Source organism: Homo sapiens, chromosome 11, assembly GCF_000001405.40.
Source record: "Homo sapiens chromosome 11, GRCh38.p14 Primary Assembly".
Classification (NCBI taxonomy): Eukaryota; Metazoa; Chordata; class Mammalia; order Primates; family Hominidae; genus Homo; species Homo sapiens.
In genome coordinates this window covers 113,796,018-113,822,291 of record NC_000011.10, presented here as the reverse complement: position 1 = coordinate 113,822,291, position 26,274 = coordinate 113,796,018, and the positions used below count along the sequence as shown (strand labels likewise).

Here is a 26,274-nt window from a genome sequence, read left to right as displayed (position 1 = left end):
TTTTGGTAGAGACAAGGTTTCACCATGTTGGCCAGGCTGGTCTTGAACTCCTGACCTCGTGATCCACCTGCCTCAGCCTCCCAAAGTCCTGGGATTATAGGCGTGAGCCGCTGTTCCTGGCCCCCATCTCTTCACAACAACATAAGAGACCCCATCTTTTCACAACAACATAAAAGAAATGAGAATACCTGATGTTTTATAGTTCAAAAATACCAATTTACCAGGAGACAACAGGGTATTCTTTATTTTAAAATAGAGTATAGGAGCATTTTCCTTAGCATGATAATACTTTTGTTTTAAAATAAAATGAGACCTTCGAGTTGTACCTTCATGAAGCTAGAGGGGCCAGGGAACGTATTCCCCCACTCCCCCACCCCACCCTCACACCCTCCACCACCCACTGTCCCCATGTCTACCTGACTCCTCAATCGGGATTTGGTGGAACCTCCTCCCAAAAAGGCATTAGAAAGAACTGCCAAGCACAAAATTTTGTTAAGAAATGGCAACTTTTGGAACAGAGAGGCTTTCTGAATAAAAAGAACCAGCCCCCTAGCAAGACACCCAAGTTGCACTCAGAACCTCCAAAGAAAGAGGAAACTCCTAGGGTGCATGGCACTTGGAAGACCCCTCCCTTCCCAGAAAAGAAGGCAGCTGCCTCCAGCAGTGTGTCAGAAGAGTCCCTGGACAGGAAAGCTGCGGTGTCATGGCTGTCCCCTGCCCCTTCAAAGAATGCTGATTCTGTTGCAGCTAAGTAGATTTGCTGGAGGTGCCCTTCTAAAGATTAACAGCCACCCGACCCACTCCCAGAAGAAAGGCCTCCAGAACAAATCCTCTCAGCTCAGCGCCCCACAGAACTCTACCCAAGCTCACTCAGAATAAATGCTTTGGAGCATCCCAGAAGTTGCCAAGGAAGAATAGTGGCAATTGGCTGTGAGATGCTGGACACAGGACCCAAGGGGCATGTTACTTTCTTGGTTCCATGTAGCACTGTCAGCTACAGCGGAGATGTGCTTCATAACGAGTACATCCTTCCCCCTGGCCACACTGTGGACTGCCAGACCAGGTGGAGTGGTGTCCAGAAGCAGCACATGGTGAATGCCATGCTCTTCAAGATTGCTCATGGCATATATTGAAGATACAGGGAAGATGGTGGTGGACATGCCATCCACAATGACTTCAAAGCCCCAGTACTTTCATCCCAAGTCCCTCACCAGTGACAACTCCCATATCCCCCTTCTCCTCCCCAACTGGAAGGCTGATTGCCCAGTGAACGTCACCATGTCTTTGAAGCATCTCATCAAGAATCTGCTGAATTGGGACATCTGGGTTGGGAAAATAGGCATTCCTCTGTGGAAGACACCCAGGCTACCATGGAGCTATACAAATTGGTTGAACTCAAGTGGGAAGAACACCTTGCCCAGAATTCCCCGAAAGACTGGTGACAATGGGGATGTTGGTGACGTGGGGAGGCAGAAGCAGCACCAGGAGAAATAGGGCAGTGGACCAATGGACATCTCAACTAGTTCCACATCTTTGGAAGCTAAAATTGTTGGCAAGAGAAAGGTTCTACTCTAGATTTAATATCCATTGAAATTCCATCTCTGGTGTTATGTCCTGTGTCTGGTTAAGTGTCCCATGGAAGGAGGGCGCCTCCATGTCAGAACCAGCCCTGTGTCTTTTACCTCTTTCATGGTGCTATCCCTAGGTCCCAGGGTGCGCTGTGCCAGTGAAGCGTTTTGAATTTCAAGGGACAGGGCATACTGAGAAATGTAGTTTCCCAAAGTGCCTGATCACTAGAGTGGCTATATGGCTCATTTTGTGCCTCTTCTTCTTGAGTAATTAACAGCACCTTCTTTCACTCTCAGAAGTATCCTGGTTTGATAATAAATTATATGGTCCCATTCCTAACACAACCTCTGCTTTTGGCTCACAGTCTGCATCTAGCCTGTTTCAGGACATTGCTCATTCTTCCTACTTGACTGCCAGAGGTGCCATTGCAGGTGAGGTTTAGTTCTCCTTTGGGTTCTAAGGCAGTGGAGGTAAGACAGTAGCTTGGAAGTCAACTTTTCTGATTTAGGAAAGCAGTCTCTTTCCTAAGGCTATAGAGGATTTATTTCATGTAGGTCCCAGTTGGTAGGTTAAAAAAGAATTTGTAAAGTGTTTCTAACTCATTTATGCTGGAGGTTGCAAATTTTTTTGGTGAAAAATAAGACCTTGGCAATGACCTTGAGCAGTAGGATATTAAATTTTAACTCCCACAAGCTTAGCATTCCAATAATGGAACACTACGCATAAATGGGTTAATGGTTTTTAGTCTGGCCGGGCGCGGTGGATCACTTGAGGTCAGGAGTTCCAGACCCGCCTGACCAACATGGTGAAACCCCGTCTCTACTAAAAATACAGAATTAGCCGAGCGTGGTGGCGCATGCCTGTAGTCCTAGCTACTCGGGAGGCTGAGGCAGGAGAATCACTTGAACCGGGGAGGTGGAGGTTGCAGTGAGCCAAGATCACGCCATTGCACCCCAGCCTGGGCAACAAGAGCAAAACTCTGTCTCATAAATAAATAAATAATTGTTTTTAGTCTTTATCTTGGTAAACCAAGCCCCTAAAAATTCTAATTATTCCCTTGATACATTTTTATAATGGAAAAAATAAAATGATTATAAATTTCAGATTTTATTTTTTAAGGTTACACATATCTGCTTGTATATGTGTGACACAGTCCTGGGAAAATATAAAAGAAACTGTTAATGGATACCATTAGGTAGTAGAACTGAGATGGAGGTAGATGACTTTTATGGTCTGTTTTATACTTTTTTGTATTTGAATTTTCGTACCAGGTACATGCATTACTTTTACAGTTTAAGAATAAAAATGTTGGCCAGGCACAGTGGCTCACACCTGTAATCCCAGCACTTTGGGAGGCTGAGGTGGGTGGATCAGTTGAGATCAGGAGTTCGAGACCAGCTTGGCTGACACAGCAAAACCCCATCTCTACTAAAAATATAAAAATTAGCTGGGCGTGGCATCGCACACCTGTAGTCCCAGCTACTCGGGAGGCTGAGGCAGGACAATTGCTTGAACCCAGGAGGCAGAGGTTGCAGTAAGCCGAGATCGTGCCGCTGCACTCCAGCCTGGGTGACAAAATGAGACTCTGTCTCAAAAAAAAAAAAAAAGAATAAAAATGCTCACTATTTCTTCTTCTGTAAGATAACCTTGATATATTTTTGAAAATTGAATTTCTTGTGTATAGTATAGACATCTTTTTTTTAACCACTTTTGCTCTGATTCTACTAAACTGATAGAGGTGTACATTGTATGAAGTAGTTGGTCCTAAAAGTTGTATAAAGGAATTCAGTAGATGAACATGAAAATGATTATGTCTTGTCTTCTTTGTTTTTTTTTTTTTGGTGTTTTGTTTTGCTTTTTTTGAGACAGAGTCTCACTCTGTCACTCAGGCTGGAGCACAGTGGCATGATCTTGGCTCACTGTAGTCTCAACCTCCCAGGCTCAAGCGATCCTCCTGCCTCAGCCTCCCAAGGAGCTGGGACTACAGGAGTGTGCCATCATGCCTGGCTAATTTTTTTCATTTTTTGTGGAGACAGGGTTTTGTCATGTTGCCTAGGCTGGTCTTGAACTCCTTGGCTTCAAGCCATCTACCTGCCTTGGCCTCCCCAAGTACTGGGATTACAAGCATGAGTCACCATGCCCAGCTGAAAATTGTTATGTCATAAAATTGAAGATAAGTTTCTTAAAGAAAAAAATCTCTTGGGATTTAGTGTAAGTATTGTATTAAAATGCAGCAAACCTGGGAAGAATTAAAGTTGTAAAATGATGACTTAAAAATTGCCAGGCGCGGTGGCCCTTAATCCCAGCACTTTGGGAGGCCAAGGCGGGTGGATCACGAAGTCAGGAGATCGAGACCATCCTGGCTAATACAGTGAAACCCTGTCTCTACTAAAAATACAAAAAATTAGCCAGGCGTGGTGGCGGGTTCCTGTAGTCCCAGCTACTGGGGAGGCTGAGGCAGGAGAATGGCGTGAACCCAGGAGGCGGAGCTTGCAGTGAGCCAAGATAGCGCCACTGCACTCCAGCCTGGGCAACAGAGGGAGACTCTGTCTCAAAAAAAAAAAACCAAAAAATAAAAAATAAATAAATGACCAAAGCCTAAATGTAATATGACATCATGAGAAAGTGTAACTGGCATGACTTTGATTAGGAGCCTATTTGAAATGTTTCCTGCCAGATATAAAACTTCAGATTGTTGGCAATTTTTAGTTTTGTAGTTAGAGAATTTTTACCCTATAGATTGTTTGAGGACCCTATTAAATATTGTATAGCCTCTAGGAATAAGCCTTTCCATTGACTTGCTGTGATAAACAGATCTTTTGTCAGCGACTCTTAAAATACAAAACAGCCTTGGGCAGTAGAGTACCACTGTCTTTGTCGCTTAGGTATGTGAAATATGGCTCAGGCCCAGCTCGGTTCCCGCTCCCGGACATGCTGAAATATGTTATTGAATTTGCTAGTACAAAACCTGCCTCAGAAAGCTGTCCACCTGAAAGTGACACACATATGACATTACCACTTTCTTCAGTGCACTGCTCGGTTTCTGACCAGACATCCAAGGAAAGGTAATGAAAACATTTTTTTTTTAATGGTATGTATTGTTTTTCTGGTATAATTTAAACTATGCACCATCTTTGTACTTGATTGACAGTCACCTATAAGAGCACAGGAGCTGTGAGCTCTTTGTCTTAAAGGGAAGGGTTTTGCTGACTGTCACTTGGGTGGGAGTGGGCCCACCAGTGCATTTGTCTTATCCGTAGAATGGTTGGGTTATTTCAGAGGCTTCTCAAACTGTTCAGGATAGTGTTCAGGCTCCACCCAGTGATGCCTTGTTTTGAACTACAAGCCAGCTGCCATTAAAGGCCTTTCTCAGAGGAAACCTCAAGCCCTGCTCTTCCAAAACATCTCATGCTCACACACTTGAAGTATGCATGACTAAGAAACATCAAGGAAAGAGAGACTTATTCTTGAATAGAAAATTAGTACTTGAAAAAGAACTGGCTAGAAATAAGAGGACAGCTTAGAGGGGCTTCTCTAGTAAAGGCAGAGGGAGGCAAAGTCACAGGAGCCCTCTGATTTTATTCCATCCAGTCATGTGCAACAATCTTTATTGCCTAGAGGAGCCATGAAAGGTAGCTAGGACATTTGATATGTGTTACCTGGCTAATAAAAACACTAATACTCAATAAAAAGTTAGACTTTTTTGTCAAAAAATCTTAACTATTCTCCCCAACACATCCCCCGCCACCGCCCCACGTATTAATATTTATTCATCCATGTATGCATAGAAATGCTTATTTGGATAGAACATACCAAATGTCAAGAATGATTATCTCTAAGGAGTGACATGAGTCTGGGGATAGGAGTGGGGCTGCTCTTTCACTTTTTATATTCTACTTAAATTTTTTAATTTTTGTAAAAATAGAATCTTTTTATGTATATTATGAAATGTAAAGTTTTAATTTTTAAAAAGTGGTTCGGCAGGCTATTTAATCAAATAAAATAATAGTGCTTGGTATTAGATTTAAAAATTACAGGGAGGTGTATGTGTGTAATCTCCTCTGAAATTGAGATATCTGTTCCCTTGTTGGGCTTATTTTTCCATAAGTATGGACCTTAGGGAAAAGAGATTTCCTCCATTATTTTGTGCATGTGAGAGAGTGAGGAGGAGGGAGTGAGGTTTTTTTGTTTGTTTGTTTGTTTGTTTTTTTGAGATGGAGTCTCACTCTGTCGCCAGGCTGGAGTACAGTGGCATGATCTCAGCTCACTGCAACCTCCGCCTTCTGGGTTCAAGCGATTCTCCTGCCTCAGCCTCCCAAGTAGCTGGGACTACAGGCGTGCCACCATGCCCAGCTGAGTTTTGTATTTTTAGTAGAGATGGGGTTTCACCATGTTGGCCAGGGTGGTCTCGATCTCTTGACCTGGTAATTTGCCCTCCTTAGCCTCCCAAAGTGCTGGGATTACAGGCGTGAGCCACCGTACCCGGCAGGAGTGAGAGTTTTTTTTTAAGTCAAAGTAAAGGAAGTTTATATTCTTCAGCTTTGGTGTAAAAGAGAAACCTAACTACAATTAGAAGCTTATTTTATATTCCTGCTGGTTTGTTGACCTGCAGTTTTACTCTGACAATAGAGAAATTAACATTTACTTGATATGCTTTATTCTCTGTTAGTTTACAGAAAAGACGTAAAGAACTTAAGATTTATATTTTGTAGATGAGATATTAATACTTTTTTCCTTGGGTATTTAGCTAAAGTAGTAGAGCTAGGATTGTTTGACTTGAAGCCCTTCTCTCAGAACTCTCCAAGGTGTCACCTAGTGTGTATTCCTGTGAGTTGTATGTTCAGCTGATGCTTCCTTTTTCTTCCTTCTGTGTATTTTGTTCCAGGAAGGATAGTGTCACTTTAGTTGGCTTCATCTTGTAAACTCTGTAGTTGATTCCTTGATTCTTCCAGGCCTAGTCTTCTCTTTTCCATTTTCCTTCTCTTCCCATCCTCATGGGAAGGAATAATCAGTGATCAGAGAACATGAGCTAAAGACTGGCCGATCTGGCTTTGGATTCATTTTCATTACCTTCCAGCTTGGTGAACTTGGGCATGTTGCTTAATTTATTTAAACCTTAGGCTCACAGTTGGTAAAATAGGGATAGAAAAGTATCTACCTCACAGGCCAGTTGTGGTACGTGAGATGATAGAGAAAAAGGTTGGCTCTGTACCTTTATAGAGTTAATGCTCACTGAATACCTGTACTTTTTCATATAGCATCTTGCTTTCCAAAGTACATAATTTAGGCCAAGGTATCTTTTGGAAATTATCATATGAGCATGATTTTTGTCTTCCTCAGTACAAGTACAGAAAGCTCTTCTCAGGATGTTGAAAGTACCTTTTCTTCTCCTGAAGATTCTTTACCCAAGTCTAAACCACTGACATCTTCTCGGTCTTCCATGGAAATGCCTTCACAGCCAGCTCCACGAACAGTCACAGATGAGGAGATAAATTTTGTTAAGACCTGTCTTCAGAGATGGAGGAGTGAGATTGAACAAGATATACAAGGTTGGCTCTTTTAAAATTTGTCAGTTACTCTTTGCTTTTTCTGTTTTTTGACTATTTGGAGGTTAAGCACCTCGGTACACTTCCTGACATTACTGTACATGCTACAGAATTTCCCCCCCGCCGAGATGGAGTCTCACTCTATCACCCAGGCTGGAGTGCAGTGGTGCAATCTCAGCTCACTGAAACCTCCGCCTTCCGGGTTCAGGCGATTTTCATGGCTCAGCCTCCCAAGTAGCTGGGATTATAGGCATGTACCACCACACCTGGCTGATTTTTTTTTTTTTTTTAGTAGAGATGGGGTTTCACCATGTTGGTCAGGCTGGTCTTAAACTCCTGACCAAAACTGATCTGCCTGCCTTGGCCTCCCAAAGTGCTGGGATTATAGGTGTGAGCCACTACGTCTGGCCCATGCTTTTGAATTTTGACATGGTAATTGTGACTTCTTTTGCACTTTTAGTGCCCTGTAAACTTGGCTCACACACCCCCATTATACAGATATGGAAAGATCTCCCCCTCAAAATTTCTGGGAAATGATCACCTTTGCTGAGATTTTTCTGCATCAACTGATTTCTGTTTCTGTGGTAGATTATCTGAACTCCAGCTTAAGTTGACCCAGATTTAGCATTTAGCTTTTCTGGACTTCTACTCTTCAGTCTTTTCTATAGGAAGCATGCTTTACTGAAGGTTAATGAGGTATTTGAGCAGTATGCACAATGTAAAATTGGATTATTCAGCATTGTATTCTTAAAAAGCCCTTTGACCTCATTGCCCATATTGCTCAGACTAACCTTACCCCCCTTCCTGTCTCCTTTTGTCTAGGGAACAAAAAGATGATGGAAAATACAGATTCTTCCCAGATTCCTATTCAGAGAAATTTAGCCTTACCCTTTGTTCTGCTTTCTCATTTCAGATCCTGTCTGAGGCATACATTTTACAGCCAAGTGACCCATTAAGATCTTTTCCTAAACAGCTTACTCTTTAAGAAATTTTGGCAATTATAAAAAATAATGTTTTAAAACCTTAATGTAATTATATTGAACTAAAAGCTTTCATAACCTAAAGTACTAGCTGCTTTAAAACTGTATATTGCTTCGTGGTTCATAGAGGGAAGCTGAAATCATTAGGACCCTAGCAATATTCTTTGCTTAGTTAAAGTAGCCTGTGTGACATAGAATGAGATCATTTTAGTGAAGCTTTTGTTTTTCTTTTTCCAAACAGATTTAAAGACTTGTATTGCAAGTACTACTCAGACTATTGAACAGATGTACTGCGATCCTCTCCTTCGTCAGGTAGAATGAAAATTGATGGGAAAGTAGTCAAGGCATGTGCTAATGGTAGATACAAAAATCAAATTTGATAGTTTTCTTTTAAACCCAATGGGAATCCCCCTAAGATAAAAGAATAAACTTAAGATATAAATTGATGTTGTTCTGTTTCTTTATTTTAGGCTAAAGAAAGCAATATACCTTTTACCAAAAACAGGACCTAACACATACTTGTTTGAATTCTGCCACATGGAATTTTTTCATATTGTAGAAAGGTTTGCTGTCAGATACTAATAAAAATTACTTACAAAATGGTACTTTAAGTAGTGCAGTGGGAAAAACTGAACTAGAGAACAGTTATCCTTTCTTTCCCAAAGTTCCATGATTCTTCAAGATCTTTAATTTAACAACATGCGTTCAAGCTTTATTTCTGTAATAATAAATTCCAAAAGAGAGTTAGGACAGAAATTCTTAACTATCCACAGAAGTGTTTGTTAGAATAAATTCTGGGAATGGAGGGGTAAAGAGCCTCCAGGAGTGTCTCTGAACCTATTCTGGTTAGGGGCATGGACTTTCAGTGGCTTCTGTATGAATGACTGGAATGGGCAGAATGGCTTGGAGGAGGGGAGCCCTGTTTCTAGAATGGCATTGAGGCACAGTCCCATTGCTTAACAGGAATGCACCATGTAAAACGCAGGCTTCCCCATTTTTTCTTTTGTGTTAATTCAAAAATCTTCACCAGTAATTAAAATAGGTCAAAGTAAGTGTAAATTTAATTTGATTCTGTGACTGACTTTCATCTCTTTTACTAGTATTTAGTTAGCATTTAAGCATTGCTCTATTTTCTCTATATTGAAAATACACAAATGTGCTTTTCAAATGTTGTAACAAACAAGTATGTCATTAAAAGGGTCTTCACTCCAGATAGATAAGTGGTCACTTAACTCTAAGAAGCATGTGGCTGAATTAAATATGTTAACTTAAATTTTGTTGCCAAATAAAATAGGCATGGAACAAAATAGCTGCTAACCTTTGTAGGTCCCAAATATGCTAAGCATTTTCAGCATGAGTGGTCAAGGTGATTCTATTTTTAGATAAACAGAGTTTTGAATTAGAAGGATGCATATGTTTAGGTTATGTTTGGTTTTAGATCTGAGGAGTTTAGAGTTGAAAGAGTCTTCAGAGAGGTCATGTAGTTCAGCGATCTGGTTTTCAAGGTTTTGGAACTGAGACATAATTGATCAATTCCAAGGCTGTGTTTTTGTGGACTTCATCTTGAATCAACAAGATGTTTTAATATGAACCCCACATTAATCACATCATAAACAGTAATTTCTTAATAACCTAAACTTTATCAGATTACTTTGCTTCACCTGACTGGGGAATGTACATTCTGACTTACAGGTGCCTTATCGCTTGCATGCAGTTCTTGTTCATGAAGGACAAGCAAATGCTGGACACTATTGGGCCTATATCTATAATCAACCCCGACAGAGCTGGCTCAAGTACAATGACATCTCTGTTACTGAATCTTCCTGGGAAGAAGTTGAAAGAGATTCCTATGGAGGCCTGAGAAATGTTAGTGCTTACTGTCTGATGTACATTAATGACAAACTACCCTACTTCAATGCAGGTAAAAGTATCTTGGCAGAATCTATAGATTGGGGAAAATCTGTACTGCTCAGGGAGAAGAACAGTCTTGTACTGCTTTTTAAAAAATTTACAACTTACTATTATATAATAATAGATTTAAAAAATATAGACAGTATAAAAGGAAATGAAAAGGAAAAACAAGTTTGCTTTACTACTTTCTTCCTTGACCATGGGTCCCACTCCCAACAAGTACACAATGTTAGGTTTCTTATGTAGTCTTCAAGACACATTGTATACATATGCTAGATTCTATTTATCTGTATCTTCCCCTCCCCCTTTTCCCCAAGTAGATTATTTTTCCATTCAACTCTGAACCTTTTTCATTAATCGAGTATTTAGCAATCTCTATATTTTTAGTAAAAGAATCTTAACTGTTTAACAACTATATAGTAATTCATTGTGTGGAATATACGTATTTTTAAAATTTACTCGTAGATAGACTAATTCTCTAGTTGTTGTTGTTTTTAGTGACATCTTTTTTTTTTCTTGCCCCATCTTATGGTGCTGATAGTACATATATTTTTGCACCCTTTGGAGAATAACTAAATTTTTTCTTTCTTTTTTTTTTGAGACATAGTCTTGCTTTGTCGCCCAGGCTGGAGTGCAGTGGCGCAATCTCAGCTCACTGCAACCTCCGCCTGCCAGGTTGAAGTGATTCTCCTGCCTCACTCTCGCAAGCAGCTGGAATTACAGGTGCCCACCACCATGCCCAGCTGATTTTTGTATTTTTAGTAGAAACGGTGTTTCACCATCTTGGCCAGGGTGTTTTTGAACTCCTCACCTCAGGTGATCTGCCTGCTTCGGCCTCTCAAAGTGCTGGGATTACAGTTGTGGGGCCCAGAATAACTAAATTTTACAGGTGTATTTGCCTGAATAGTTTCACAGTTGTTGTAATACTACTACTCATACAGAGAGCAATAATAATTATCATTTATATTGGTACTTTACTTCTTAAAGCATGCTTTCAAACTTTTATTTCTCTAAGAACTTACAGCTGTGAAAAGGAGGGAAAGAGTTTGAAAATGTTGTCATCTTCATTTTCCAGCTGGATAACAGATTCCAAAGGGTTCTAAAGTTGAGTAATCACATAGTCAATAAATGGCAGTCCCAAGATTCAAATACAATTCTCCAAATTCTGTGGTGTTTTCAATTTACATTATTCTCTCTTTCTTTCACATCCTCTATGAGAGGTCTTATGATGAACATTTTATAAGTAAGATAGTAGAAAGCTTTTGCCTGTAGTATTCAAACTTTACTGTGTGGCGTAAGTAAGGAAACATCGCCCCGGCATGGTGGTTCACGCCTGTAATCCCAGCACTTTGGGAGGCCAAGGCGGGCGGATCACTTGAGGCCAGGAGTTGAAGACCAACCTGGCCAACATGGTAAAACCCTGTGTCTACTAAAAATACATAAATTAGCTGGGCATGGTGGCACACACCTGTAATCCCACCTACTTGGGAGGCTGAGGCAGGAGAATTGCTTGAACCTGGGAGGCAAAGGTTGCAGTGAGCTGAGATCGTGCCACTGCACCCAGCCTGGGCAACAGAGTGAGACTTTGTCTCAAAAAAAACAAACATGTAAGGTGTTCTGTCCAGGCAGCACGTTATCTTTCTGATTTGCTAGTGTGGTTGGGGATTAGGGAATGGAGAGAATGATAAATGAACAGTAAGTAATCTTCACAATTGTATATTTATGCTGCGAAGGAATGAATAGCTGCTTGAATGTACTAGCTGTTGTTAATATATAGGAGCCTTGTTATTGCATGCATGGTTTATTTTTCTATTATAGAAACAAACAAGTGGAAACTGTCATTTGCTTAGTGAAAAGGCTGATTAATGGCAACCAGTAAGTGAATGTGTTAATCTGCTATAGACTTTTTTTGTTTGTTTTGGTCACAGGGTTAGAAAATGAAATTTTATATGTCATTGATATCCTTGCCATTAAAGCCAGGTATTATTGACCATTTCACCATTGTATCAAATTGCTTTCTCATAGTACTGAATTGTATGAAAGTTGGTGGTATAAATGTCTTGAAATTCATCTCTAACCTTTTTGAAATGGACATTCTTATCCGCCAAATGCAGTGGTTAAATGGATAAAACTGTTTATCTTGAAATTTTTATTGGCTCTAATGATTTTCTGAATTTCCCTGAAATGATTGGTATATCCAGTGATTGACAGTGACCAGTTTCCAAATCTTTTTTTTTTTTTTTTTTTTTTTGAGATGGAGTCTCACTCTGTCTCCCAGGCTGGAGCGCAGTGGCGCAACCTCAGCTTACTGCAACCTCCTCCTCCCAGGTTCAAGCGATTCTCCCACTTCAGCCTTCTAAGTAGCTGGGATTACAGGCATGCGCCACCACGCTTGACTAATTTTTGTATTTTTTTTAGTAGAGACAGGGTTTCACCATGTTGGCCAGGCTGGTCTTGAACTCCTACCTCAAGTGATTGGCCTGCCTTGGCCTCCCAAAGTGCTGGGATTACAGGCGTGAGCCACTGCACCCGGCCCACTTTCCATATCTTTAACTCTGTGTTATTCATTCACTTAGCAGATGTTTAATGAGTGCCTACTAAATGTCAGGCACTGTTATCAATTGTTGCCCTTACATTGTCCATACAGGTTGAGCATCCCACATGTGAATATCCAAAATCCCAAATGCTCCAAAATCCACAAAACTTTATGAGCCTTTTTCATTACATGATGCTGGAAGGGAATGCTCATTGGAGCATTTTGAATTTCAGATGTTGGATTTTAGGATTTGGGATGCTCAACTATAACTAATTGTGCAGATTTTCTAAAATATGAAAAAAATTTGAAGTCCAAAACAGTTCTAGTCCCAATCATTTTGGATAAGAGATACTCAGCCTGCATTTCTGATGGATTCTATGTGCATGTATTTTTAGTTAGGAGTAAGATAAAGATGAAATACCCTGCTTTCTTCTTTTCTAAAAAGGATGTTTTCGTTCCTTGTGACCTTTTAACTCTATCTTTGCTTTTCCTCAGAGGCAGCCCCAACTGAATCAGATCAAATGTCAGAAGTGGAAGCCCTATCTGTGGAACTCAAGCATTACATTCAGGAGGATAACTGGCGGTTTGAGCAGGAAGTAGAGGAGTGGGAAGAAGAGCAGTCTTGCAAAATCCCTCAAATGGAGTCCTCCACCAACTCCTCATCACAGGACTACTCTACATCACAAGGTATCTGAGAAGGCATTTATGCCAGTGATCCAGTAACATCTCATGCTGTACTCCCCTAGCCAGCCCTATACCCTTCAGCTGGCTAGGTGATGCCACAGTCTTCACAGTATATTTCATATACAGTTGGTATGCCAGGTACAACCTGATGGAATGAATTGTGGCATTAGAATGTGATTTCTGATGAACAGAAGCAGTATCAGAAAGACTAACTACCTGTGACCTTCACTGTGTATATAGTTTTGCTTATTTCCCAGGTTATGGGAGAAACTATGATAGGGTTAATAGGTAGACTTTATGAAAACCATTCTCCAAAGGTGATCTTCCTAAAAGATGCTTGTTTGTAGAAAGTTTTCTTAATGGATAGAAATATGACAAAGTTGGGAGTGCATTAAATTTTACAGAATCATCTGTGGGTTCAAAGTTTACAGACTTTATCAATAGAGTTCTTGCTGAAGTAGCCATTTCTTATAGTTATTAATTTCTAGGGAAAATCTGCATAGGCTTTTGTAAAAAGCTGTGTTAACAGGGTTGTATATTAAACTGTATACATTCTGCTTGCTTTTTATCTGAGTGTTCTAGACTATTTATCATTAGATGCTAAGACCTTTGTTCAATTCTTTATCAGAGCCTTCAGTAGCCTCTTCTCATGGGGTTCGCTGCTTGTCGTCTGAGCATGCTGTGATTGTAAAGGAGCAAACTGCCCAGGCTATTGCAAACACAGCCCGTGCCTATGAGAAGAGCGGTGTAGAAGCGGCACTGAGTGAGGTGAGAATGACTGGGAAGCCCAAGTTCAGGAGAGCCGGGCTTTCAGCAGCGATGGCCAGTTTTCTCACATTTCTATTATTCTGTGTCTCTGCTGCCTTTAACCAACCCCTATTTATTTCTCCTGTTTTTTCTTACTCTTTCTCCCCACTCTGCTGCCACAGCTTAAAGAAGCTGAACCCAAGAAGCCCATGCCCCAGGAAACAAACCTTGCAGAGCAGTCAGAACAGCCCCCAAAGGCTAATGATGCAGAGTCTACTGCCCAGCCTAATTCTGAGGTCTCTGAAGTCGAGATTCCCAGTGTGGGAAGGATTCTGGTTAGATCTGATGCAGATGGATATGATGAGGAGGTACAGAGATGAGTGCAGGATATAGTTGTTTGTTGTCAGTCTTATATTTCCTTCTCTTGTGACTATATTAAGGTATCTGCCAATAGCTGATATTTTCTCGTTGCAAAAAATGATTGTCAAGAAAGCCTATTTGGTTTTGACCTTAGTTACCATTATTTAAAAGATAGCCATGTTTCTATTGTATAGCGCTCCCAGCATATGTATATCTACCCAGGCTTATACTTAATGGGGCCACTGCAGAGTCTAGATGGCTCAGAAAAGTAAAATTAAGTTCCCTTTTTGGTATTATGGACAAAAGATTGCCTTCTAATTTAAAATAGGGAATCTTTTTTTTGGATATTAGTCCATTGTTTTACCTCCAGATATAAATTTTTCAGTTGTCCAGTGAGCTAAACAAATGTGGATTGAAGTTATTTTTAATTGTAAAGGAATTCTATAGGAAGAAGCTATAGAACCCCAAGTTGTTTGTTGTCTGTCTCCTCTTCAGTTGCACTGCACATAAACAATAATGAATTCTGTCTCTCTCAGATTTCTGTTTTTTTTCTGTGGGGTATTTAAAAAAAAAAATCATTGACAAGGCTGGGCACGGAGGTTTACGCCTATAATCCCAGCCCTTTGGGAGGCCAAGGCGGGTGGATCACCTCGGGTCGGGAGTTCAAGACCAGCCTGGCCAACATGGTGAAACCCCTGTCTCTACTAAAAATACAAAAATTAGCTGGGCATGGTGGCATACACCTATAATCCCAGCTACTTGGGAGGCTGAGGCAGGAGAACCGCTTGAACCCGGGAGGCGGAGGTTGCAGTGAGCTGAGATCACGCCATTGCACTCCAGCCTGGGCGACAGAGCGAGACTCTGTCTCCCAAAAAAAAAAAAAGTCCTTGAAAAGTTTTTACTTTATGGAGTCATATTTGTATAGTCGCTAGTTTCCAGACTATTTTAAATGTACTGTTTATCCTAGTAAAACTCTAAAGTATTTGTGTGTTTAAGATATACACCCAAAGTACAGAACTAAATTGGAATTCTGACCTTAGACACTTCCCCTCTGAGAACTATAATTTAACTTAATTCTTCAGCAGTGCCATATTGGGAGATATTTTTAGGCATACATCTTTCTTTATCCTACTGAATTAGAACATAGAGCGTAGGAATAGCTTGTCTTGGGCAGGGTGTTGACATTATATAGAAGGACAGAGGCAGTGGGTGCACATAGGAATGGGTGTGTGAAACTCAGCTTGCAATACATGCTGGCCAAAGAGCACACTGCTCTGCTGCCCTTTAGCACTCTGTTCAGCCTGCTTTCATACAGTCTTCTGCTGAACCTTTCTTCTCTCCTTTCTCTCTGTGTTTTGTGCCCCCTTGTGGTAGGTGATGCTGAGCCCTGCCATGCAAGGGGTCATCCTGGCCATAGCTAAAGCCCGTCAGACCTTTGACCGAGATGGGTCTGAAGCAGGGCTGATTAAGGTATCTCTGTTTTTAAAATTCTAATTCTTACAATATAGGCATCATAATATTGGGGAAATAATTCTATAAGAAGGGAAAAAATGGGGTTAAGGCTGGGTGTGGTGGTGTGTGCATGTAGTCCCAGCTACTCAGGAAGCTGAAGTAGAGGCTCACTTGAGCTCAGGAGTTGGAGGCTGAAATGTACTGTGATTGCACCACTGCACTCCAGCCTGGGCAACATAATGAGATCCCATCTCTTTAAAAATAAAAAGGACTGGGCACAGTGGCTCACACCTGTAATTTAGCACTTTGGGAGGCCCAGGAGGGAGGCTTGCTTGAAGCCAGGAGTTCAAAACCAGCCGGGTCAACATAGTGAGACCCCCATCTCTACTAAGGAATTTTTTTTTTTTTTAATTAGCTGGGCATGGTAGCACATACCTGTAGTCCCAGCTAATTTGGAGGCTGAGGCAGGAGGATCACTTGAGCCCAGGTGTTCAAGGTTGCAGTGAACCATGATTGTGCCACTGCATTCCAGTCTGGGTGACAGAGTGAGACCCTGTCTCCAAAAAATAAAAAAAAAGTCTTCTGTGAAGTGAAATATGAGACTTCCTTTCCTGTCCAACTGATGAACAAGCTGTTCACTTCTCTTCTCTTGACCCTAACCCAGCCTTGGCTAGCAGTAACATTCTCTGTGACACCTAGCCTAGAGGGCTTTTCATTGTTGTTGTTAGGAGTTGTCTGTTAGTAACACTGAGTTAGATTGTGCCTTTGTAATTTTGAGGCCATAACAAAGTAGGCTGTGTTTTTAAAAATACTTGAGTAAAATTGCATTTGTATAGATTCTTTAAGTTTAAGTCATTGACACACAAGGATCTGCCTTTTATAACAATTAAAACTAAATATTTGTTTTTCTGAGAACTTTATGAGAAAACTGAATTTCTTAAGAGTACAGTAGGCTGGGCGCAGTGGCTCATGCCTGTAATCCCAGCACTTTGGGAGGCCAAAGTGGGTGGATTGCTTGAGCTCAGGAGTTTGAGACCAGCCTGGGCAACATGGCGAAACCCAATCTCTATCAAAAATACAAAAATTAACTGGGCATGGTGGTATATGCCTGTAGTCCCAGCTACTTGGGAGGCTGAGGTGGGAGGATCACCTGAGCCCAGGAGTTCAGGGCTGCAGTGAGCTGTGATCATGTCACTGAACTCCAGCCTGGGTGACAAAGTGATACTCTGTCTCAAAAAAAAAAAAAAGTACAGTATGTTTTTGGTGCCAGAATGCTAAAAGAGTTTCATCCCTTATGAAATGCAAGAAACTTAAAAATTCCATAGTTGTTTTTGTAATTCGATATGAATTTTTTAGAAGTCTTTTTAGAGTCAAGAGACTGCCTAGCTCCTAGGCATCAATTTCTGTGTGCAGAAGCCCACAGCACACTATTTTCTAACCATTGATTCTGCCCTTAATAGGCATTCCATGAAGAATACTCCAGGCTCTATCAGCTTGCCAAAGAGACCCCCACCTCTCACAGTGATCCTCGACTTCAGCATGTCCTTGTCTACTTTTTCCAAAATGAAGCACCCAAAAGGGTAGTAGAACGAACCCTTCTGGAACAGTTTGCAGATAAAAATCTTAGCTATGATGAAAGGTGAGAAGAGAATATTCAGGTGAATCCCTTGGTCTGGGTTGGGCTAGATGGACTCCTCTGTTGGGGAAGTTTTGCCCTGTGCCTTTTCATTGCTTTCTGAACTTTGTCCCACACAGATCAATCAGCATTATGAAGGTGGCTCAAGCGAAACTGAAGGAAATTGGTCCAGATGACATGAATATGGAAGAGTACAAGGTAAAGTGTTTTCTTTAAGTCTATAGAGCAAAAACATTAATTCCTGAGGTAAATGGTACCTGAGGCAAAATAAACAATTTTGTGCTATTACAAACTGACTTGTTCTTCCACTTTCCCCTCAAAATCCTGGTAAAGAATGGATAAATGATATTTTCTTGCCCTCAGAATAGCAGGTCTCTTTATTTTCATTCTTCATTTAGAGTGAGTCAACATTTCACTTCCCTTAAATACCTATTTTAGCCTTGTCCTAGGCAGTAAAATTCTTGAAATCATGCTTTTGGTTTGTTTTAAATGATAAAGTTTTAAAAATACGCATTAAAATACATAGCTACACATGTTTTCAATTGCATCCCATGTAAAACAATGTTATGTACCACCCAAGGTGTATTCACCACACTTACTGAACTTGAACTTGCTCTGTATGACTAGAAATGTCCGTGTCCTTCCATATTTTCAATATCTGGATGGTTTTACCAGTCCTAAAGAGGTCATTCACTTAAGCTAGAGCTGAATATCTTTTACATAGCTGTTAGAAATTAGGATAAAATCCGAAGCTCGTAGGAAATAAGTACTTCTGTTACTCAAGTGAAAGGAACAGAACATTGAAAATTAAGGTCAGTGGTAGACTTTTATTTTAAATGTTGAGTAGGTTTTTATCTGAAAGCTTTTGTTTGTTATTTTTGTGGCTAGCCAGATGTGCTCAGTAAATATTTGTAATGAATTTAAAACTTAGATGGGAAGGACACTAACAATCTATTATGATCATGATTATTAATAATCGTCATTCTTTTTCAGAAGTGGCATGAAGATTATAGTTTGTTCCGAAAAGTGTCTGTGTATCTCCTAACAGGCCTAGAACTCTATCAAAAAGGAAAGTATGTTGGCCTTTTATTTTACCAAGATTATTAGTCAGGATGCTGTTCTCTGTAGATGCCTACCTGGGAATACTAAGAGTCACAGCCATGCATAACCTCCCTTGTCACATACACTAGTGTGCCTCTTCTCTTGCAGTGCTTTGGTTTTGCTCTAAACATCACACATGGTTTTTCATCCTTCAAATGATTAGATGTATTAGCTGCGAGATAATATTGTGCCAGGCTGTCTTTGTGATCAATGAAGATGAACTCAGAAAATGAATTTTTGAGTTGACATAGACCCTAGTGAGCATTTCTTGTTTTAGAGATGGGAAAACCTGAGGCCTAGGGAAGTTTCATATTTGCTTTGGATGGCTAGGCCAATTTGTAGAAGAGATGAGACTGGCTACGGTCTTTGGTCCTTCACTTTTTCAGAATTGCAGCCAAGTAGGTTCTTGAAATGGGGAAAAGTGAGGTCTAAGCCCTAGATTTTAGTAAAAGAGCACTCAGCTGTTGTTTATCTCCCATTTTTCTAAGGTACCAAGAGGCACTTTCCTACCTGGTATATGCCTACCAGAGCAATGCTGCCCTGCTGATGAAGGGGCCCCGCCGGGGGGTCAAAGAATCCGTGATTGCTTTATACCGAAGAAAATGCCTTCTGGTTTGTACTGTTTGTAAAGCCTTAAGGTTTTTTTGTTGTTTACCTCTGCTCCTTGAAGCCAGGAAAATATATGGCTTTCAAAACAGACTATCTCCAACAGGTTGTAGATTTCCCCCCAAAATTCTCATGAACAGTTTTACATTGGAACAGGTTTTTTTTCAGTTACTTTTAGTGAATGTCATTCTTCTTCAATGATAACTGATAGAAGTTAAGATGAGAATCAGTCATCCCTCTGTGTGCCCTTCATGTATGCCTGCATTATAGATTTTATCACATTGCTTTCCTACTAGGTTGTAAATTCCTTGAGCTCAGATCCTTTTCTCACTCAGCCATTTCCTCTGTGCCTGTCATGTAGGAACCATGTAATAAATGTGTGTGGAAGGAATGCAGCATTTTTTCCATGTTCACATTTAAGCTGGTAGACTTAAAGTTTTAGTGACTTCTGACACTCCATTTTTTTAAAATAAAGGTAGGAACTGTAAGAATTGGTCCTGCTGTTCTGATAACATCATTGTCACATACTAGTGAAGACTAACTCTCTCCTGGCCTGATTTGCACTGTATAACTACATGGAAAGGCAGACCTACATCCCCTTGCCTCCCCAGGGGTTTATGTGATGTGTGTCCTTTGGAGAACTGTAAAGGGGTGGCCTGCCTTCAGAGTGTGGGCTTGTGTGTGTTTTCACCAATACCCAGCAAATTTGCCCTTCACAGAAGTCAGGCCAATATTTCTACCACTGCCTTTACCTTGTTCATACCGAATGGGTGAGATTAAGTCATGACATATACTCAATAGCTTTATTTTCTGATTTATACTTTGACATCTGTATTAGTTATAGGTGTGGCAGGGCCACTTTGAAGCTGAAAAGGGATCTTGTTGGTTTGATGGATCTGAATTTTATTAGAGCCATGTTTTTATATTTTAAATCACCAAATAGATTGACATTTTGAATATCCTACTCAGCTTCTGAAGTAATGCAATTATAGGGATTTAGACTCTTTCCATTATTGAGTCCCAACCCCTAGTGTGCATCAGAATCATATAGGGAGCTTTCAGACAGTCGTGAAGCTCAGGCCTCTCCCTAGCAATTAAACCAGAATCCCTGGGAAGGGCCCTGGGCATCAGTGTGTCTTCTGCAGGTGATTCTGATGCTCAGAGGAGATAGACAACCAGTGAACAGGTCTTTGGTTGAAACAGGTGTTAAGCATGACCTTGACTTACAAGTTTAGGCCAATGGGTCATAAACTTTACAGCATTAGAATCACTTTGGGAGCTTTCATAAAATCCCAGTGTCCCGGTCATCTAAACACTAATTAAATCAGCTTATCAGAAGTGGGAACCAGGCATCAGTAGTTTTTAAAGATCCCTAAGTACATCCAATGTGCAGTAAAGTTTGGGAACCACTTGTTTAGACTGTTATTAAAGAGATATTTATCTTTTTCAGACTCTTCCCCACCTAATTCTACCTTTTATCTGTAGGAGCTGAATGCCAAAGCAGCTTCTCTTTTTGAAACAAATGATGATCACTCCGTAACTGAGGGCATTAATGTGATGAATGAACTGATCATCCCCTGCATTCACCTTATCATTAATAATGACATTTCCAAGGATGATCTGGATGCCATTGAGGTCATGAGAAACCATTGGTGCTCTTACCTTGGGCAAGATATTGCAGGTATATGCTCTTGGTAATAATATTCTGAGGTTTTGAGAATTGTAGAAATTTCAGTGTTCTCACTTGATAGCACTGGTTGCCAAACCTTTTTAAGGAATTGGAACCTTCTAGCATATAAGTAAATTAAAAATGGATCTGCTCTATTGAAACAAGAGGAGGGAGCCTGGGCCTCTGCCCCTCTTAACCTCCCTTTAGCTTCCCCATGACTGCCAAATCACCTCCATGGGCAACCAACAAGCCTGGTTTGAAAAAAGTCACTGCTCTCCAGGAATGTCAGACTTCCATTACTCTCTCATGTGCCAAAAGATGAACTCTTTTATAGTTTAAAAATCAAAATCTGACTGGGTGCAGTGGCTCACACCTGTAATCCCAGCACTTTCAGAGGCCGAGGTGGGCAGATCACCTGAGGCCAGGAGTTCAAGACCAAGTCTGGCCAACAAGGCGAAACCCCATCTCTACTAAAAATACAAAAATTAGCTAGGTGTGGTCATGGGCGCCTGTAATCCCAGCTACTCGGGAGGCTGAGGCAGGAGAATCACTTGAACCTGGGCAGCGGAGTTTGCAATGAGCCGAGATAGCACCAGTGCAATCCAGCCTGGGCCACGGAATGAGACTCCATATCCAAAAAAAAAAAAAAAAAATCATGCAGAGTATGGTTATGGGAGGGGTGCCTTGATGAATTTTTTCTGTGGCTTGAAGTTATATAGCATATTAACTATGATGACTTCAAGATTAATTAGTGGACTGTCCTTGCTTGTTTAAAGCATCTTAAGGAGGGAATGTAAAGCTGGTTGTTTTTAGGTGAGTTCAGTAGACTTGGAAAATTGTTATATATTCTGATATGAATCCTCTTTGTTAGGTTCTCACTGACATAGAGATACTCTATTGATGGGGCTAGGCACAGTGGCTGACACTTGTAGTCCCAGCACTTTGGGAGGCCAAGGTGGGTGGCTCACTTGAGCCCAGGAGTTTGAGACCAGCCTGGGCAACATAGTGAGACCCTGCCTCTACAAAAAATGAAAACTTAGCTGGGTATAGTGTAGTTCTAGCTACTCAGGAGCCTGAGGTGAGAGGATTGCTTGAGTCTGGGAGGCCGAGGCTACAGTGACCCAAGATCATACCACTGCACTCCAGCTTGGAGTGAGACCCTATCTTTAAAAAACAAACAAAACAAAAAAGGCCGGGCGCAGTGGCTCACGCCTGTAGTCCCAGCGCTTTGGGAGGCTGAGGTGGGCGGATCACGAGGTCAGGAGATGGAGACCATCCTGGCTCACATGGTGAAACCCCGTCTCTACTAAAAATACAAAAAATTAGCCGGGTGTGGTGGCGGGCACCTGTAGTCCCAGCTACTTGGGAGGCTGAGGCAGGAGAATGGCGTGAACCCGGGAGGCGGAGCTTGCAGTGAGCAAAGATGGCGCCACTGCACTCCAGCCTGGGCGACAGAGTGAGACTCCGTCTCAAAAAAAAAAAAAGATATTCCATTGACTTGTTCAAGTGTTTAAGTTGATAGTATTTATTTAAAAATCCTGTAATAGCTAGTTGCCATGTGTTTCCCTTTACTGTCTTCAGTTTTTATTTAGACCAAGCTTGTCCAACCTGAAGCCCAACACAAATTTCTAAACTTTCTTAAAACATTATGAATTTTTTTTTAACCTCATCAGCTATTGTTAGTGAGGTTCATGTGTGGCCCAGGGAAGCCAAAAGACTGTACACCCCTGATTTAAAACCATGTGTATACACTGATATATTGTAAACATTTGAAAGAAAATAATTACCATCATATCTATGCTAGAGTATCATATCTACTTCCTTGTATTTTAAGAAGACAATTGGTTAGAAGACCCTTTCGTAATAAAGTAATTATATAGTTGTTATATAGCAGTGAGCTAAAGTTTGGTTTATTTGCCTTTGCTCCTGGTTTGGCCTGAAGGAATAATCATTTATTAGTAACTGGCCAGCATAATGCTTTGACCTTTGAGGTTAGGTAAGGGGCTAATAGAAGGCTTGTTCACTTTTACTCAGAAATCTGTTTAGCTGTATATGTAACCATCTGTTTTCCCTCCACAGAAAATCTGCAGCTGTGCCTAGGGGAGTTTCTACCCAGACTTCTAGATCCTTCTGCAGAAATCATCGTCTTGAAAGAGCCTCCAACTATTCGACCCAATTCTCCCTATGACCTATGTAGCCGATTTGCAGCTGTCATGGAGTCAATTCAGGGAGTTTCAACTGTGACAGTGAAATAAGCTCCCACATGTTCAAGGCCCATTCTGGTTCCTGGCTGCCTGCCTCTTGCACAGAAGTTCGTTGTCATAGTGCTCACCTTGGGAAAAGGATTAGGTGGGCACATAAGATTCCGATCAGACCCCAACCATGCTGCATGTGTAAAGAAGGATTGAAAATAAAATTGCACTTTTTAGGTACAAAATCATAAAAGCTGTTTCACTAGAAAAGGCAGAAAGCAGTGTATTAAGGTGTTGAATTACGCCAGAAGACCTGAAATGCCTTGTACCTACAACAATGCTTAGGCTTTTCTAAGCCTCTTGCCACTTTTAAAATTATCCTTCAGGCATAAATATTTTTGACAGCAGAATAGAAGAATGATTCATGAGAACCTGAACCAGATGAACAGCTACTAGTTATTTTATCAAATACAGATGACATTTAAAAATTCTTAACTACAAGAGATTAGAAATATAAACCTTGCCTGGCTCTTGCCAGGAGATAACAAAATGGGTTGCTGATGAACTGCACCCTTTTACATGTGGGTAGAATATAAGCTCACATGGCAGTGAGATGTTGAAAAGTCAAAAGAGACCTGTCTCTCTCCTTTCTTTTCTATCTTTAAACCAGAAAACCTCATACTCAGTCCTCAGTGAAAGAAAGTAAAGTATTAAGGACTTTAGACAGAAGAGCATTGTGTAACTTGACTGAAGATCATCCATTAATAGTTATTAGGCATTTAGGTAAAATTTTCTAATACCTAAAAATTGTCAAAAACAGTCAATAGGGCTACTGCTGGCCCAAAGACCATTTAGGTCCACCTCCTCTTTTTTGCTCTTTTTTTTTTTCTGTGACAGTTTCACTGTGTCGCCCAGGCTGGCGTTCAGTGGTGCAATCTCAGCTCACTGCAAACTCTGTCTCCTGGGCTCAAGTGATTCTCGTGCCTCAGCCTCCCGAATAGCTGGAATTACGGGCATGCACCACCACACCTGGCTAATTTTTGTATTTTTAATAGAGATGGGGTTTCACCATATTGGCCAGGCTGATCTCTAACTCCTGGCCTCAAGTGATCTATCTGCCTCCCTCAGCCTCCCAAAGTCTGGGATTGCAGACAAGTCATCGTACCCGGCCTTCTTTTTTGCCCTTAAAAGTAAGGGATGTGGGTTTGTACAAAAAAAAAAAAAAAAAAAAAAAAACCAGCATACATATGCAAAACTATATATATATGTATATGTAGAGAAAAATACTTCCCATTGATCATTTTTAAAAGGCTTCTGATTGGATATTGTGTTTTAACCAAATTTTAAAGATTAATGGAATCATGAAAGGGAAAAAAATTGATACAACTATGCAGATTTTATAAATGTGCAATAAAAGTATTTGTTTTACCTTTGGTGTGCAGTATGGTCTTTATTTAAATATATATTTTCCATTTGGGAAATGGACATACTTGGTATTTGTCTTGTTCCAATTTTTCTTCTTTAAAACCAAAAAGCAGATTAGAGGGTTGATAAACTGGATGGGGACTGACGCGCCAGTGTTTGAAATAAAAGGCAACAGTCAATTATTGAGCAGCACCTAGTGGTAACTGAAGCTTTTTAATCTCATTGGCTATTTGCATTGCATGTAAGCTTATCTACTTTGTCAAATTTTTGAATGCAAAAACAGCAATTTTCTTAGAATGGAGTTTCTTATGTAGTCATTCCTCAGCAGACACCGGCAATTGCTGGGACCCCTGCATATACCAAAATCCATGCATACTCAAATTCTGTAGTTGGCTTTGCAGAACCCACATATAGGAAAAGTTGACCCTCCATACACTTGGGTTTTCACATGCTGTGAATACTCTATTTTCAATCTGCATTTGGTTGAAAAAAATCCTCATGGGACTCATGCAGTTCAAACCTGTGTTTTTCAAGGGTCAAAATGTATTTTGATTAATGGTAGGCCATGCTTTACAGATATTCAGAGGTGCTTTAGTGTTTTAAAACTCATCGCAAAGATTGTTTCATGGGAAGTTGATCAATTTTCTTACTGATTACCCTTTACAGTTTAACATCCTGTGTGCCACCATTTGCCTTTCACTTTTTAATCCCTGTCAATATTGAGTCTTGTGTGCAGTGCTTCAGTTATATTATTTTAACCCTGGGATGACGATAGGGACCATGATTTATCCAAGGTCGTAGATCTTGTAAGTGGTAGAACTAGGACACTAATCCTTGGTGTGTCTGACTTCATAGCCTGTGCTTTTAATAGATGTTCAACTGTCCTTGGTAATCGTGTGAAATATTTTGTTTTGTGTCTCCTTAACAGTAGTTATTTCCTGATCAGCTATTGGGAATCTACAGTTGGCAAAGAAAGGAATGGATGGACATCTGGAGTGTATGGTGCTGAGTAGTCTGTATCATTTGGATCCACCAGGGGGAGTGCTGAGAACTATTAATAGTTTCTTATTCCTAACAGTAGCTGGCTGCCTTTAGGTACAACCAAAGGCCTCCACAAACTAAGGTCTCAGACTGGTTTGTTTGTTTGTTACCCAGCTGTCAGGCTAAGCATTTTTTTTTTTTTTTTTTGAGACAGGGTCTCACTCTGTCCCCCAAGCTGGAGTGCAGTGGCACGATCTCAGCTCACTGCAACCTCTGCCTCCTGGGCTCAAAAGATCCTTCCACCTCAGCCTCCCAAGTAACTGAGACTACAGGTGTGCACCATCATGCCCCACTAATTTTTGTATTTTTAGTAGAGACAGGGTTTTGCTGTGTTGCCCAGGCAGGTCACAAACTCCTGGGCTCAAGCAATCCCCTCGCCTTGGCTTCCCAAAGTGCTGGGATTACAGGCATGAGCCACTGTGCCTGGCCTGGTTTTTACCTTTTTAAAGGGTTGAGAAGAATAAGGATATGGGGAAGAAGAAACCTATGTGACCCTTACCCAAAATGATTCAAGAGTTTGAGCAGGATACTTCACCTCAGCATAAATTCTCTTGAGACTGGATTTAGACTGGGTTAACTGGAATTGCAATCATCTTCTGTTTGGATTTGTTAGCTCCTTTAAGAACTAGCAGGCATACTAACTCATTTTTACCCTATCCACTTCAAGAACATACGAGATAGATAACATACAATAAAACAATTAAATGAATAAGAGAGATCAAGTGGAGTGCTGGGAATGTAGCAAGGGTAGGATAGAAGGGGGAATTAATTGTGCCAGAAGTCATGTAGCTGTTAGTTTATTCATTTTCCTTGCTCAGT

General features: G+C 40.7%; 1 protein-coding gene and 1 pseudogene across 51 annotated transcripts in view, besides 1 other annotated feature; both read left to right on the top strand.

The window, feature by feature from the left end:
* USP28 (ubiquitin specific peptidase 28) overlaps positions 1-24,417 on the top strand; it is a 77,698-nt gene extending 53,281 nt beyond the window's left edge. For 24 of the 51 annotated variants that reach the window (NM_001400807.1, NM_001400809.1, NM_001400813.1 and 21 more), the window contains 12 exons: positions 4,455-4,634; positions 6,910-7,118; positions 8,337-8,407; positions 9,788-10,016; positions 13,038-13,229; positions 13,855-13,994; positions 17,246-17,424; positions 17,541-17,619; positions 18,415-18,494; positions 19,011-19,134; positions 20,614-20,809; positions 22,877-24,417. In NM_001400807.1, the coding sequence (NP_001387736.1) occupies positions 4,455-4,634; positions 6,910-7,118; positions 8,337-8,407; positions 9,788-10,016; positions 13,038-13,229; positions 13,855-13,994; positions 17,246-17,424; positions 17,541-17,619; positions 18,415-18,494; positions 19,011-19,134; positions 20,614-20,809; positions 22,877-23,052 (1,855 nt within the window). In that variant the 3' untranslated portion in view covers positions 23,053-24,417. Of the gene's footprint in view, positions 1-1,933; positions 2,001-4,454; positions 4,635-6,909; positions 7,119-8,336; positions 8,538-9,787; positions 10,017-13,037; positions 13,230-13,854; positions 13,995-14,155; positions 14,342-15,707; positions 15,804-17,245; positions 17,425-17,540; positions 17,620-18,414; positions 18,495-19,010; positions 19,135-20,613; positions 20,810-22,876 lie in introns of those variants that run through there. The other 27 variants (NM_001346268.2, NM_001346261.2, NM_001346269.2 and 24 more) reach the window with 6 other exon arrangements.
* ISG20L2P2 (ISG20L2 pseudogene 2) lies at positions 390-1,878 on the top strand (annotated as a pseudogene).
* Positions 15,607-15,656: a silencer, noted in NCBI's record as "silent region_3911". NCBI's record gives its function as "represses an Ori minimal core promoter by ATAC-STARR-seq in GM12878 lymphoblastoid cells {active_cell/tissue: GM12878}" and the evidence as "EXISTENCE:reporter gene assay evidence [ECO:0000049][PMID:35858748]".